General features: G+C 41.2%; 2 pseudogenes; both read right to left on the reverse strand.

Moving 5' to 3' along the window:
- Positions 1,010-1,390, reverse strand: CBY1P1 (CBY1 pseudogene 1; annotated as a pseudogene).
- PPIAP66 (peptidylprolyl isomerase A pseudogene 66) lies at positions 8,649-9,391 on the reverse strand (annotated as a pseudogene).

The raw sequence follows: 17,460 nt of genomic DNA on the forward strand, positions 1-17,460 counted from the left end.
GGAAGCCTCTCCTTTGATCATAAGGAAGCCTAAAAGATCACTGATGTAAGCTAAAAAGAACTCAGATGGGAATTGATGAAAGCAATTCAAATGTTGGAGAAACAGCATTGCTCAACAAAATGCTCCAGAGTCACTGATTTTAATGGCTATTTCCTTAGAGAGGGTGGCCTTCTTACTACTGGAGGATTGACTGGTGACATTCCTAAGAAAGACATTTCTAGAGAAATTCTGAAACTGACTCAAAGAAACACGAGACTTCATTTTCATGGACTTAAAAATAATTTTAACATCAATCATTTAATGAAAAAGAAGTAGTGTGAACAGGAAGTAGCACAAAATACAGTGTTGCAGTGGAAGATTGGTGCATGCTGTTGGGAAGCGGAAGCCGAGGAGGTTGTGGATGTGGGGAACAAGTACTCTGTAAGGACAGGGAGAGAGTGGTCAGAGGGGCAGAGAACCAAGAGAGCCACTCATCCAAGCAGCCCTAATATGGGCTCTTTTGAACTGGCGTAGTGCCCCAAACACTAAAGGGGATGAGATGATGAGCTCCAGCTGCTTCTCCCGATGGTGTCCGTCCAACATGGTGATTCTGGGACATGGACATTTGCATGCTTACATGTGTGGAGGGCACCCCAAGGCTTATCATCACCCCCAGATCTCCCTGAGGTTTTCTTTACAGGCTGGCATCCCTAGCAGTGCATCTGGAGTGACTTTCTGGTTACTGCCCTGGCCTGGAGGCCTGGTTTCCTCCATTAAATTTCACCATCTTATTGCCAACCCAAGGGTATCAGTGCCTATTGGCTACATTATATGATACTGTCTCTCAGGACCTAATCCGCTAGTCTGCTAGAAAACAAACAACCCCTACCCCCCCCGCAAAAAAAAAAAAAAACAAACAAACAAATAAAAAAACCCTGCTTAGCCACATCTACTCCCCTGATCAGTGGCTTTCTCCCTGCTCTCCTAACGAAAGTCTTTAGGGTCTTCATTTTCTCCTCTGGCTGACACTCTTCCATGCATCCAATTCCTTCTCCATTAAAAGGGATTTAGCAGTGGTCTCTGAAAACATGTCCAGCAGGATGTCCACTTTCAGCTGCAAGAGACTGTTCTCTTCCTCCAGTTGCTAGTTCTGCCTGTGAAGGCACTGGGCCTCCCTCCGGTCCACACCTCCACTAATCCCTGTCTCTGCTATCCACCGGCCATTTTCAAACTTCTGGCTTTGTGTTTGTTTTTGTTTTATGAACATTTTCCAGGTTCATAGTGGGAATTCCAAGTCCAGGCCCAGCTCCACCTCCTGGGTTGACTGATCAAAGGAATGCAGGTTGGAGAGAGAAGCAGACGTCCAAGGAGGCATCTCCTTGGGACTAAAGATACCCCCAAAGAGGGGCATCTTTGGCTTGATGATGGAAAAGCCAATGCTCCCTTCTCCTGACATGTCCCAGAAGCCAGGGTCCAAGCATACCTCAAGACTTCCTGCAAGGACCCCATCCAGGTTCCCATCACCCACTGTGACCATAGCCTGCCAGCCTTCCTCATGGATTATTCTAATTATTAATTGGGAATAAGCGAAGTGAAGACAAAAGGTCTCCAGAAATGCTGGAGACATTGTTGTTGACTCTTCTCTTACTCTCACACCCACTTTTGGTCTCTCAGCAACTCTTCCTAGCCCTAACTGAAGATTATGTTTATGTATGTGTGTGTGTGTGTGTGTGTGTGTGTGTATATATATATATATATATATATATCATAGTGATAAGAGCTATTATATATATAAGAACTAATATATATATCTCCAAAATTCTGGCACTTTTCACTAAACCCTACCCCACTGCCACCATCTTGGTCAAAGCCACATTTCTCACCTGGATTACTGTAGAATACATTATAGCAATACTGCAATTACTAGATTACTTTCTGTAATAGATTATTTTCAACTGACCCCCCACTTGCACCTTTGCTGTCTGTAATCTATTCTCAACACCACGGCAGAATGCTCCTGTTGAAAGTAAGCCATTTCTCCGTTCAAAACTTTTCAATGGCTCCCCACCTCACTCAAAGTGAAAGCCCAAGTCCGTTCCGTGACCTACCAGGCTCTGTGTGTCCTGGCCACGGGGCTGCCCCACACCCCTGTCATTCATGACCATTCTGAGCTCATCTCCTGCCTCTCCCAGCCTTTAACTACTCCAGCCACACGTGTCTTCTACTGGTGCTTGAATGAGCAGGCATATTCCCATCTTAAAGCCTGAGACTCCCATAGCTGCACTGGCTCAAATTTCAACCCCTTCAATCCAACACTTTCTACCCCGACTCCTTGCTTTACTTTTTCTCCTTAGCTCTTATCACTATGAAACATGCTGTATATTTAACTCATTTTTCTTGTTTGTTGCTCTTCTGGTGGTCCAAGGGAGAGAAGACGATGGTGTAGACTGAAGAATTTGCAGTGGAGATGACCAGAAGAGTCTGGATTCAGGATAAATTTTTGAAGGTCATGCTGACAGGGCTTGCTGTGGGGTTGAATGCAGAGTTGAGAGAAAGAAATCCAAGGAGATGACTCTGGTTTTGACCTGAGAAATTGGGTGTATGGTGGTACTAGGATAGGAAAATAATTTAGGAATGATTTTTTTTGATAGAGAAGATCAATAGCTCAGTTTCAGCCGTGTTAATTTAAGACACCTATTAAACGTACAGAGATGTAATAAAGATGTATTTATACATGCAAATCTAAACCTCAGGAAAGAGATCTGGACTAGTAAAATGAATTTGGGCATCATCAACATTTGGATGATATTTGAAGACATGGGGGCTTTTGGAATCACTAAAGAAAAAAGTGTAGCCAGAGAAGAGACTTATAAAAAAAATTGCTGGAGGAGCTAGTGCTTAAAGATTTAGTTTAGGAAGGAATAGATGATACAGAAAAGAAGAAACTGTTTCAGGAGCCCAGCTCATGAGAAGGAGAGCAAGCTGGGAAATAGGGCACAAGTTTACCAGAGCATGTGACTACAGATATGAATAAGCTTGTGGAATGAAGGTGGGAAGTTGAAATGGTTTTCACATGATTGCATCTATATTTCTGCATGAAATATATGACAAAGTCTTCGGCTGAAGTTGAGTGGGAGGAGATGTTGGAGATTTGAGGACTGAGGAGAAAGTGTGTAATAGTCATCTTGGGAGTAGGTTAATGAATTTACTAGGGAAGTTTAGTTGTCAGATAGTGTTGAGTGCTCACTGAAGATTTTTGGTCATAAATTTGAAATGGGTCCTGATAGCCTTGGTTGTGTGACTTTTCTCCAGCAACATTTAGCCGCTTGGGTATGGGGGTACAGTAAGCGATTAGTTGAGTTGAAGAAGAGTTGGAGTGGGGAGAGGGAGAAATGGAGAGTTTCTATTCAATGGGTATAGCTGCCATTATGCAAGGTGATCAAGACTGAGAGATCTGCTCTACAACATTGTGCCTGTGGTTAGCATTATTACATTGTATATTTAAAATTTGTTAATAGCGTAGATTTCATGTTAAGTGTTCTTACCACAATAAAAAAATAAAAAAAGACAGGTTCCATATAATATCAAATAACATTAGATTTGGTTGCAGACCTGAGAGAAAATTTCTAACTCTGGATATGCATATTAAAAAATAAAAGTAAAAAGCTAAAGAGTAAAAATATAAATAAACCTTCAAATAAAGGTTCAGAAAAATAAAGCTCTGGAAAGCAGATTTGGATAAATGGACTTTATAAATCAGGAAATAGAATAAAATGTACAATAGACGGCTGGGTGCTGTGGCTCACGCCTGTAATCACAGCAGTTTGGAAGGCCGAGGTGGGCGGATTGCCTGAGCTCAGGAGTTTGAGACCAGCCTAGGCAACATGGTGAAAACCCATCTCTACTAAATACAAAAAAAGTTAGCCAGGCATGGCAGCGTGCACCTGTAACCCCAGCTACTAGGGAGGCTGAGGCAGAATTGCTTGAACCCGGGATGTGGAGGTTGCAGTGAGCTGAGATCGCTCCATTGCACTCCAGCCTGGGCTGGATATTTGAGCAAAGGTTGGAAAGAAGGGACTGGAATTGACATACAGATATCTCAGGAAGTGCAGTCCAGGCAGAATGACAACAGATGCAAGGTAGGCCTGTGGCTAAAGCGAGGTGCCCTGGGTATCTCGGAGGGCTCATACTCTCTGCAAGGGAAGAGTAGTAAGAGAGGAGGTCAGAGACATGATGGGGGGAAGGGATCAGATTGCATGGAGCATGTGCCAGCTTGAGGAGGGCTTTGCAGGTCATTGCAAAGATTTGGCTTTTACCTTGTGTAAGATGGGAAGCCACTGGAGGGTCTGGAACAGAGATGAGACATACTCTTAGAAGGAACACTATGCCTGCTGTGTTGAGAGGAGACAGAAGAGGGACAAGATCGAGGGAGGGAGGCCAGCTGGGAAGCTCTTGCAATAATCCAGGTGAAAGCAGATAGTGACCTACACCTGGCTAGTAGTGCTGGCGATGGAGAAGAGAATCTGGCCAGAATTTGGATGTGTTGTGAAGGAAGAAGAAGAAGTGTTTGCCAATGGGCTGGAAGTGGGACATGAGGCAGAGAGGAGACAAGGGAGAGTCTAAGAACTTTGTCCTGAGCAACTGGAAGGTTGGAATAAATATTTACTCAGGTAGAGAAAACTGAGGGGTAGTTAGATTTGGTTTCAAATCAGGTTTTGGTTTTGTTCATGTCAGGGTTGAGATTCCTTTTAGACTTGAAAGCAGAGGTGTGGAATAAGCAGTTGGCTGTATGAGACTAGAATTCAGGGTTCTGAGCTCTAGTTCAGTTCTATTTTATACTGAAGTTAAAAAAATTTGAAACTCATCTGAAGCCATGAGACTGCATGAGATCTTTACAGGAATGTGTGTGAATAGAGGAGAGAAAAGGCCAACAATACAAGAGGCATACCAATGTTCAGAGGTCAGAGAGATGAGCAAGGAGGTCAGGGAGATGAACAAGGAGAACATGGTGTCTGGGAGCCAAAGGCTGCAGTTATTGGCAATGGCAGGGTCTAGGTTTCACATGGTCTAGGTCTAGCGAAATAGTGGAACACTAGTTTGAAGATGATATTTTGCTAGACCTAGACCAACGACCATGTGAGTGAATGGCTGAGGTGGGCTGGAGGAAAAGGTCACTGGAGCAAAGGAGGACAAGGAGGTGAGTCTCAGGATGTTGGTTGACTCCAAAGTCAATGATGGGGCTTATGGCAGTAAGTCATAAGCTGACATCACCCATGACTCCATGAACCAGGAGGCAGCCAGCACACAGCAATGAGAGGCTTGTGAGGCTGCATAGTTTGGTGATTGGCTTCAAAAAAGCTGGGGTTTTTGAAGGAGAAGATCAGACATTTGAGAAGTTACAAGGGGGCACCAGATGAGCATTTACCCCTCTCCCAGCCTTCAGGTGCTTGGGGAAGAGGAGAGGCAGTCTTTAGCTGAGAGGGCTGCTGGAAGTAGAATCCTCAGAGGACAGCCTGGCTTCCCTGGGCAGGAAGATACATTTATTTTTAAATTTATTTTTATTTTAAATTTTTTTATTTTAAAATTTTATGGGTACTTAGTAAGTGTATATATTTATGGGGTACATGAGATATTTTGATATAAGCATGTAATGCATAATAATCACATCAGAGTAAATGGGGTATCCATCCCTCAAGCATTTATCATTTCTTTGTGTTATAAACAATCCAATTATACTCTTTTAGCTATTTTAAAATGTACGATAAATTATTGTTGACTGTAGTTATCAAATCCTAGACCTTATTCATTCTATCTAACATTTTTGTACTCATTAACCATCCCCACTCCCCTGCTCCGCTATACTTCCCAGCCTCTGTAACCATCATTCTGTCTCCCTGTGTTCAATTGTTTTAAGTTTTAGCTCCCATGAATGAGTAAGGACATGTGAAGTTTGTCTTTCTGTGCCTGGTTTATTTTGCTTAACATAATGTCCTCCAGTTCCATCATGTTGTTGTAAATGACAGGATCTCATAGGAAGATACATTTAGAAGTGGAAAAAGGTGTAGGAAAGTTTGCTGATCAGTGAGTTCCTAAGGGTGCCATGGAAAAGCTTGGGAAGAGAGGAGGGTTTGTGTTAGATTAGATAATACCTGTCTGTTGAGGGATGATCTGCTGGTGACCCAGGTTAAAGTGTGTGTTGGGAGGGTGGGTAGCGGGAAGCAGCCACAAATGGCTGGTATTGGTATGAGGTATTTGAGATTAGTCCAGAGCAGTAAGGGGCAAGATCTCCGGGCAGCTGATCTAGCCTGAGGCTGGAGACGTCATGACAGGAGGAAGACAAGATGATTGAAGACCCTCTTGAGGCTGGTCACACCCCATGGGTAGGGTGGTGGAGAGTAGAGTAAATCTCTCTATGATAGCTAATTATAATATTGCTATAGTCATCACGGTTGAGGGAAATTTATCAGCAACTAGGCCACAGACTGAGAGAAGTTTATCTGCAACTAGGCCAAAGACGGATGAATTGCTTTTTGTCCCCACCCACTGACTATCCTAATAAGTGTTGACAAACATGAACCAAACTTTTGCTGATAAAAAGAAGAAATATTCAGGGAAACCTGGAGAAAGAAAGAGGTGAGCATTTTACAAACTTCAGGAAATGGCCAGACCACTCTTTCCTTTAGTTTTCATGGTAACTGTTGGCCAGTAAAGTAGAGCTGCCCTGGGCTTCTGCGTCTGTCTTATCCCCATCAAGGGTCTACTGAGCAGGGAGATTCTAAAGGCTTATTTGACAACAAAAGGTTGGGATGGCCAAGAGTTGCTTCTTTTCCGTTTCTTTCCATTTACTTTCATTTTCAAGTCTCGTTCACTATGGCTATAGGACTCTATTGCTCATGAAGGGCAAAGGGGTCCTTCTCTGTTTTCATCATGTGGGTTTTCAGAAGGGCCCCTGGCCTGGCAGTTAGGAGGTAGGACCCAGTTCTGACTATTTTCCTTACCTCCCTTGTGACCTGAGCCAGGTCACTCATCCTCTGTAGACCTCAGTCGTTTCACCTGAGGTCCTTTTCACCTCTCACATCCTATGTCTTGAAGTTACTCGAGTCAGCAGGAAGTGAAGTAGAATCTGCAATGTCTTGGTACAAACTAAGGAGAGAGCACAGGATTTTAATTCAGAATAAGAAACTCGTTATTCACTCTAGGGTTAATCATTTTATAGCAACTTGACTAAGTGACATCACTTCTCTGAATCCATTTAAAAATTGTATAAAACAGGTTGATATTTGCACTTTTCTTGGCTTCTTAAGAGAGATTTTGATACTATAAATAAGATTATTAGTAGGGACAAATATGGAAATGATAAAGATGCTTCCAAAATTCTTACAGGTACCATTAACTGGCATAATATCATTGATTGTTGATTGAATTGGCAACCAATCAATCAGTAGTAAGCATCTATTTTTTCCATCAAAGTGTATTTATTGAGGGACAGGATTATGTTGGGGGAATATAGATAAAGTAGAATAACATAGTAGTACCTCACAGCTGGGGTCACCGAAATGAGATAACTTGTTTAAGGTCATACACTACTAAGAAGTTAGGATTTGAACTTTGATTTGTCTGCCCCAAGGTTGATGATCTTTCTAGTCAACCCCCAGCCCCTTCTCATATTTGTATGTTAAGTAAGTGGCAGGCACTGTGCTAGGAATTAGTGTTGTCCTGGCAGCATTTGGCACTGGAAATGGGATCTTATTTCAGCCAATCGTTAGTTGTCCCATGAATTAAAACTGGCTGTATTATTTTGATTCTTGGCTTAGTCTTAGAGCCTTATGATAAGAATTAGAAGCTGACATGACCAACTACAAGGGTTCTTCAGTGAACATTCATGTCCTGCAATAAAATGAGCATCTCAGGTGGTCTTTTCTCAGTGGGTGAGTGGTATTCCACATGTTCCTCTCACTGATAGCCTGTGGGAACATGGAAGTTAGAGCGTGAAGTAAAAAGTCAGGACAGCTACAGAAAGCCTTGTCTGACCCAAATCTACCCTTATATGGGATATGTGGATATAAATATTCCACATAAATAATGTGCTTGTGTCATTCACTTACTTTTTGCTTTTTAAGAGAACCAGAATCACTGTGATTCATACTGAAACACAGACACACATGTATCCACACACAAACCCACACTATCATGTGGCCAAATTACCAACTGCCCAACCTTCATCTGACACTTGTGGAAAGAGAAATATGCGTTGTAGAGAGTTCCCAACTTGAAAGAGTCAATTGGTATAAATACGGGCTTCATGACCTCAAATTCGCAGGGTTTATTTCAGGCAAAATTGTCTCTTTTTTATCAAGCAAGAAAGTAGAAAACAGTACAGTGTATCTGTTTAGATTCTGGCGTCTGAGGTCTTTGTGGACTTGAATGCTGATAGGGCGATAATGCATCTAAACATTTAACCCAAGGGCTGCCAGATAGTAAAATTGTAATTAATTTACTAATTTAATAATTTCTTGCATCTTCAAGTAGACTAAATAGCTTAATGACTTGGAGTAAACCAACTTAAGAAATTAGTGTCTTCTACTAACTATGGAGTTTTGGGGACAAGGATTCATCTTTCTATCTCCAGTGCCTACAGTAGTGCCTGGAAGTGAATTTTTTTTTTTTGTTTCTTATTTAGTTTTCATTTCATAATCACAAACTTAACTCTGCCATCTAACTAGGCATGGAAGGGAACAAGGAAAACATGGAACCCAAAGGGAACTGCAGCGAGAGCACAAAGATTCTAGAATACTGCGAGCAGATGGGGTGGAGGGCTGCTCTCCTGAGCTGCAGAAGGAATGGTCCAGTGGTTAAGATAAAACACAAGTCAAACTTATTCGAGTTGTCCAAAGTCAGGAATGGTGACCTTCTTGCTGGTCTTGCCATTCCTGGACCCAAAGTGCTCCATGGCCTCCACAATATTCATGCCTTCTTTCACCTTGCCAATGACCACATGCTTGCTATCCAACCACTCAGACTTGGCAGTGCAGATGAAAAACTGGGAACCATTTGTGTTGGGTCCAGCATTTGCCATGGACAATATGCCAGGACCTGTATGCTTCAGGATGAAGTTGTCATCATCAACTTTCTCCCCGTAGATTGACTTGCCACCAGTGCCATTATGGTGTGTGAAGTCACCACCATGACACATAAACCCTGGAATAATTCTGTGAAAGCAGCAACCCTTGTAACCAAATCCTTTCTCTCCAGTATTCAGAGCACAAAAGTTTTCTGCTGTCTTTGGAAACTTGTCTGCAAACAGCTCAAAAGAGATGCGGCCCAAGGACTCACCGTCGACAGAGATGTGGAAGAACACGGTGGGGTTGACCATGGCTGGTAATACAGAGCTCCCGACGGCAGCATCTGCAAAGCACTCAGTGAATGTTTATGGAATAAAGTGGAGTCCTGTTCCCTCAACCTTGCTACTACTGTTTCCCACATTCATTTTCCAGATAAATTCCCAGACAAGTTAGAGAGGGATGCTATGGAGAAACATACATTTCTCCAAATCCTTTGGTAGTAGAAAATAACCTTGGACACAGGTCTTCAATGAATTGGTATGTAATTATTCAACATCTGAGTCAAAATGCAAACAGTAGCTCCAGTCTACACAGAGTAATCCGAATTAAATATAGCCCATATTTGTTGTGCTGACATCCATGTTGTTGAGAACACGCATACATATGATGCAGCTCAAATAACATAGGGAGAACAATGGTTAAAGTCTAAGGCTCTTGGCTGCTCTAATGAGATGGGGAATGGGGAGTTTGGGCATGGAGGTGCTCATTATGTGAGAGATAATATTTCTATTCAGCATCATAGAGCATCCATTTCAGCCGAGATCTCACTCTGGGAGCTCCTTTTCCGTGCAAAATATAGAATATACGCATTCAGAGAGAATGCTTAGAGAGAGAGGGGAAAGCTCTAAGCCTGTAACGGTGGGGAAAAAGTCTTTCCTAGCTATAAGTAACTGGCAGCGATGTACAGTAGAGAACATTAGAGCAAATCTTATGTTATAAATACAGTTGATAAGCAGACTGTCCTTTACTAGGACTTGAAGCTATTGCAGTCAGAGACTGAAAATTTCCTTCAAATCCTAATGAGGGCCATGGTACAAGGAAGCTTTGAGGGCTGAGAGCAGTAAAGGGTGCATAAGAGCACTTCACGTGAGCCTAAATGACAGATATGATAGAGGCCTTGGGTGGGAATCAGACAAGATTATTTCACAGCAGCTTAGGATTTCCATTTGTAGGAAACTGGGAACAGTGAGCAGAATCCCACCATTCAGCCTTGCTGTATTCACTTAGGCTCAAAATTTGGTGACTTAGAGTTCTTATATATTGTATCAGTCATTCCCCAACAATCCTATTCTTTAATTTTGTTTTCTTAAATTTTCGTTAAAGAACTATCATCATGTATTCTTACGCTTAAGAGATAAATGCTGAAGTATTTAGAGGCAAAGTGTCAGATGTTTGTAGATTACTGTCAAGTTGTACACACACAGAGACAAAGCAAATATGATTGCCGTCTTTTGAACTATAATTCTTCTTCTCACTTTTTATATGTTAAAAAATCTCATACTAAAAAGTAGAAAGAGAAAACCACATCTGATATTGGTACAGATAGATATCTAGACTAAGTGCACCTCACTTATCTATTTTCATCAAGATTTGACTGCCCATAGTGATCAATCCAAACTGGCAAAAACTTCTATAGAACATTCCTCTACAAAGGCTTATTTCTGTCAGTTCCATTCATTAATTCATTCAGGTATTGTTGAACGTCTACTATATACTGTGCACAATTCTAAGTCCTGGCTATATAGCAGGGAGCTTAATCCTGTGCACTTATATTAACTACTATTTAACAAAAATACCCTTTAGAGAAAGTAAGTCTTTTGGAAGGTATATAGGTTTATTTTTAAAAATGTCTTCCTTTTAAAATACCAGTTCCTTTAAACGTCCTTAGTAAACCTATGTATTACAAGAAAAATGATTTGAGTTTCACTGGAAAAGCACTTATAAAATGTACTTTATTTCTCTCTTTATGGTTTTCTGGCTTCTATAACTTAAAATATTGCCCTGGGGAGACAGGAAGACCAAAAATTCCAATCCTGTAAGAATCAGAGGCAGGAAACTAGGAAAAGTTGTTAGTTCAGTCAAGTTTAAATGAGAAGGAACACAAAGGTTAGGCTGGTAATTATTTTAACCAGAATAATGGGATAATCTAAGAGTGAAAATGAACCTGTTTACATTTCATATCAAACTTATAAAAAAAAACCCCATGTACTCGGGAAGCTGAATTGGGAGAATCACTTGAACCTGAGAGGTAGAGATTGCGGTGAGATCCTGCCATTGCACTCCAGCATGGGTGACAGAGTGAGACTCTGTCTCAAAACAAACAAACAAACAAACCCCATGCACAGAGGTGCATAGTGTTTCTAGGCACATTTGTGGTATCCAGGGCAAGCTCTTCAGGGCAAGGGCGTTTTTAGATACTTGTGACTGTTTTATCACTTACTCCTGAAGATCAGCAATTCATAAAACTTAATACCTGCTGATTTCAGCCTGCTGTAATGTCACCACCCCAGGGCACACAATACCATTTCAAATGATGTCTTTGGTTTGCCAGGTTTCATATGCCAAAGAACCTTCAAATGGTGCATCCTACCCTCCACGCTGCCTTTTACACACTATTCCTATAGTAGGCCAGCAGGAGATCTACTCCTTACCATGAGCAGGAGTGTTTTAATAGCAGAATATGGGAAACAATGATTGCTATGTTGGGTTTATATGCTTTGTTTGCAAAATAATGGGTTTTAGGTTAAATTGAGGCAGGTGTGCAAATGTTCTGGTGAAGTCCATGCAACCTCCCTCCAAAACAGCAAACTATAAAAAGACTCTCATAATAGTGGTCACCAGCATCAATAATTGTAACAAGGGGCTGGAATATCAATCACAGGAAAGACAAGCATTTTGATAGCATTAATCAGAGCTGGTTTTCTCTTGCAAATCATGCCAAAGCTCTTGGATTGCTGCCTGTTCCCATTGTTTTCTGTCTGGTGGTTTGTACACAGATTCCTCTCCCCTTCCCCAGTGTGGCCATAATGAAATTGGGGAATTAACTCAGAGCAGAGTTGTTCGAGTTTGGATGTGAAGGTAAACACAAATGGAGAAAGTTCAAATTTTTGAGAAGAACAAACAGCCCTAGTTACTAAACATTAGCTGGCAAATGCAATAGACATGTACAATGGGCAGATATCATGGATGATTTCTCATACTGGCCAAGACGAAAGATGGTCACAGGCTATAAGGCTTGTGTGTAGTATCTGCAGAAAGAATTTTTAGGTATTTTCATTTTTAGCAGCCAAGGCAATATATTTAGTCTTCTGATTTTGAGTAACACTCTGCCATCACTAACAAAAAGAGATGAGAGGAAACTCATGTGCTTGAATCTCTTCAGTTATCATCCTGCACTTATTTCTATGCAATGCTTAGAGCTTCCATGGGGACTGATCTAATCTTTTTGCTTCCCCTTATTGCTCATTAGACCCTCCTCCAGATATGAAATCTGTACAGGTCTATTTACTTATTTTGGATCCCAGTCGGACCAGTTACAAATGACAGCCAAGAGCATGACTTGGAAATTTAAGCACTGCAAGATTGGAATTTTCCCAAATCATAAATGGCTTAAATATTGCTTGAATGGAGGTAATGATGTAATTTTATGTTAAAAGGAGAATATAATATAAGAGGGAGGACTTTTGAAAGAATCACACATCAGTGAAAGAAGATGAGTTAAAATAGAAAAATCTACCCATTCCATTGGAGGCTTCATTCCGGGTCTCTCTGTCAAAGTGATACTTCCTTTGGATTCATTCAAAGGAGATATTTTATTTTATTTTTTTGAGACAGAGTTTCACTCTCTTGCCCATGATGGAGTGCAGTGGCATGATCTCGACTCGCTGCAACCTCTGCCTTGAAGGTTCAAGAGATTCTCTTGCCTCAGCCTCCCGAGTAGCTGGAATTACAGGCACCTGCCACCATGCCTGGCTAATTTTTGCATTTTTAGTAGAGATGGGGTTTCACCATGTTGACCAGCCTGGTCTTGAACTCCTGACCTCAGGTGATCTGCCCATCTTGGCCTCCCAAAGTGCTGGGATTACAGGCATGAGCCACTGAGCCTAGCCCAAAGGAGGTATTTTAAAAAGTCCTTGAAGACAAGAAGCAAGAGCAAGGCCTTTACCCACACACATATCAAGTATATTACATATAAATAAGTGTGGAATTATATATCTTCCCATGGGATTAAAGCCATTGAAATGGGAAAAAAATCCATGTATTATAAGCACAAATGTATGTACATTTATATGCCTACACAAAACCAAAATAAATGTTGAAAATGAGATTCAATAACTCAAACAATCATTTTGATTAACATTTTTTTCACTGAATTGACGGATATTTTGTAGTGACTAGAATGAATTGTGACTTTGTATAGACATTTCATATATGGAACTGATCCTTGAAAAATTAATTGGTCAGGTTTTGCTATAATGGATAACAACCTACGTTAGAGATACCGCATATGAACAAATTATTAGTCTTTATAGCATACATTGACTAATTAATTTTCCAGGGAGCTATAAAAGTCTTAGATAATATTATTAACTAGTGGTAAATGAAAATGTGTTTGCTTCCAGCTACTGGGGAGGCTGAGGCAGGAGGATTGATTGGGTCCAGGAGGTCAGGGCTGCAGTGAACTGTGATTGCACCACTGCACTCCAGCCAGGGCAACAGAGTGAGAGGCTGTTTCAACAACAACAACAACAACAACAAAACAACAACAACAAAACAGAAAAGAAAAGAAAATGTGTTCAAATGTCAAATGTTCAAGTTTCTTGTGCCTTTTATTTCATAATAAGGAGCCCATTTTTTCTAAGTGCCAATAAATTATTGTCTTTAAAATGGAGTATACATTGGACGCTAGCTCCTGACTTTGTTCGTTGTTCTTTTCCACATTAACATAAGCTGATCTTTAGATATGAAACACACACACACACACGCACACACACACCCACACACGCACACACACACCCACACACGCACACATATTCTAGACAGACTTTCGAAGGAGTAATTAAATTGTTATGAAAAGAATGTTGCCCCGAAATTATATTGACCTTAATTTGAAAAAGACAAGGAAAATATGGAAAATGAAAGAGGGAGAAATGGTTAATTTGGTTTATAATCCACAATGATAATAATATGTGCTTCCAAGAAATTATAGATTAAAATAATTAACATGGCTCATATATGAATATTAATGTTTTTTTCTCAGAGGGCCTCTTTGTCTCAGTGCCCAACATGGCTCCATCCTGACAGAATTTCTTCCGTTGTCCTATTCGGGCAATCAGTGCCTAAATGTCTTTGTTTGTCTGATGAGGTTCTGTTTTCTGAATGGCAAGTTTAGACTTTATATCTTCCACCTGAATTATTACAAGAGAGATTTGGTAATTAAGTTCTAACAAGATTTAAATGATATTAAAAACAGTCAGTTAAAAGGAAACACAGCCTTGGGCTTTGTTGTAAATTTGTATAATTATTTTTAGTCCTCTAGAGGATGCATAATTATGTTTCTGTATTTATAAAAATACTGCCTCGGAGGCACCAAAATGAATTTTTCTGTATGCTAATTTACATATTAATGTTACTCTTTGTATGTCAAAATTTCTTTGGATGGATAAAAAGAGATTTTCTAAGGAAATTTTCAAAGTAATCACGAAGAGTGTAAAGTCTTTTGATTGGTAAGTCTGGAAAAACCACTGTTCAGGGAGAAAGTTTGACAGTCCAAGAAAAAAAGAAACTTAAGAAGGCAGACATATAACCTTAAACTTCAAGTTTAATTTGATCTTAACTTGGAATGGGGCATGGTGGCACAGCCAGGAATAATACCCAGTGACATTTATTGAGTACTCTTCAGGTGCTAAGTGAGACCTGGTCACTTCACCTGCTTCATGCAAGGATCATAGAGGTAGGTACTATACTTATTTTTCCCATTTCAAACATGGGAAGACTGAGGCACAGAGAGATCAAGTTGATGGCTCCGGATCACACAGCTGGCATTTTAACCTAGGCAGTTTGATGCCAGTGCCTTAACCTCATGATTAATTAATAGTTGACTAATTTTCTGTATTGTTTTCTGAACAGAATCATAAGGAAGCACCAAGGACCTCTTTGTGCTGTGATGGAGAAACCATTTTCTCATGAAACCTACACGAGACGGCTGCTAAGTCTGAGTGCAGTACTGGAAACACCACACAATCCCAGGGCGTGGGCTCAGCTTTCCCTGCATGGACTCTCTTCACTATTTTACAAGCAAGTGAGCTCTCTGCACCAGATTTTAGGCTCCTCCAGAGCCAGAACTGTTCTTTGCTTCCTTCTATGCTTCTCCCTTAGGGTTCAGAGTTGGCCTGGCTGTTCACTGAAATGAAATCCGGGAGTGAGTCTCAGGAAACACCTATGGTCCTTCTGTGATAAGTTAATTTTTCATTGTTTTTGGTGGTAAAATATACATAACATAAAATTTATCATTTTAACCATATTTAAGTATGCAGTTCAATGGCATTAAATACATTCACATTACCGTGTGGCCATCACTACCATCCCCCTCCGAAATGTTTTGTGGTTCTGCCCCAGCCTCCCAAGTAGCTGAGAATACAGGCACGCGCCACCACGCCTGGCTAATTTTTTGTATTTTTAGTAGAGACAGGGTTTCACCATGTTAGCCAGGATGATCTCGATCTCCTGACCTTGTGATCCACCTGCCTTGGCCTCCCAAAGTGCTGGGATTACAGGCATGAGCCACCATGCCCGGCCAGTTTTTTCCCAAAATAAAACTTGGTACCTACTATATATAACAACTCCCCATTCTCCTCTCCCCATAGTCCCTGGCAACCACCATCCTACTTTCTGTTTCTAGGAATTTGACGACTCCAGTGGAATGGTTAGTATTAAATTGAAGGTAATTTTTACATGAAATGGGATCTCCAGTATTTTTATGCAGGAGACAAGTTCATCTGTTCTCTTGAACTGTGTTCTAACCATGGAAAGGAAATTGGTAGAGCTAGGAAAGGTCAGAAGGTGCGGCCGAGGGACAATTTCCCTTCCTCTGTTGTTAGAGTGGAAGGATTAGAAGGATTGGTGACAGCCATTGACCATGACAGCACAGTGATGGGCAACTGGGACATCACTGTGGAGGCCAGAGAGGGAAGCCAAGGTGAAGGGCCGTCTTGGGGCTTGTTTCTGCACCTAGGTGAGGCTGCCGCTGGGGTGCTGGAAATAGCTGGGAAGTCCTATGTGAGGGGCAGTTCATAGTGAAATGGCTGCACGGCCTTGTGCCATTGTCATTTGGGTTATGCATGTGCTTCTTCATTTAATGCTCCCAACACAACTACCAGTTGGTTGGTTCATTGCTATTTTTTAGGTGAGCGTAATGTGATTTAAAAAAAGAGGTCACGAAACTTGCCCAAAGTTACAGCTTCAAATGGTAGAGCAAGGATCTCAACCCAGAACGACTCCAAACCCCATGTTCTTTCCACTCTGTCACTCTGCTGCTTCTGGGGTTAATGAGGAGACTGCAAATCCTGTGTGTATCCTGAAGGTCAAGGTGAGAAATAGAATACTGGCCTCTGAGAAAGCACTCTGAGAAACCTACCACATTGCTCTAGAAGTCTACAGCTTTAGACAGGAAGGGAATGCTCAGAACCATTGTTTGGTCCAACTCCCTCAGGTTGTGGTTGAGGAACCCAGGATGCCAAGGCCACTCAGAGGTTGGGTGCAGAACTAAGGTTGGTGCAAAAGTAATGGTGGTGTCTGCCATTGAAAGTAATGGCAAAAACCGCAATACCTTTCGCACCAACCTAATATAACCAGAATTCTATTGCAAGATCCTAGTCTGTGCCTTTGATTATATAATAAAAGAAGAGCATTCAGTATTGGTTTCATCTATCTTTGAGGCCCTCTGCTTGCATTTCAACACTCCATCCACAGGAGGCTCCTCTGCAGCATCCTGCTTTCTGCTGGTTGTCATTTAATATCTATAAGATTAGCCAACAAGAAAAATGTTACCTTATAATACTTTCAACCCCTTCAAATTCCCTACAAGGAAAAAGTTTCCTACAAGGAACTTTTGCCTTTTAACTGAAGCCTGTTAACATATTCTGGATGAAAGAAAACACATTTTATGAGGAGAGAATTACAGGCAGTCGAGTAGTCTATTTTGGGCAGGACTCTTTCTGTAATCGTACTATGTCTGTCTACTTCTTTTTTGTTAGTTTGTTTTTTGTTTTAAGACAGGGTCTCCATCTGTTGCCCAGGCTGGAGTGCAGTGGCCCAATCATAGCTCACTGCAGCCTCAACACCCCTGGGCTCAAGTGAT

This window comes from Homo sapiens, chromosome 2 (assembly GCF_000001405.40).
Source record: "Homo sapiens chromosome 2, GRCh38.p14 Primary Assembly".
NCBI lineage: Eukaryota > Metazoa > Chordata > Mammalia > Primates > Hominidae > Homo > Homo sapiens.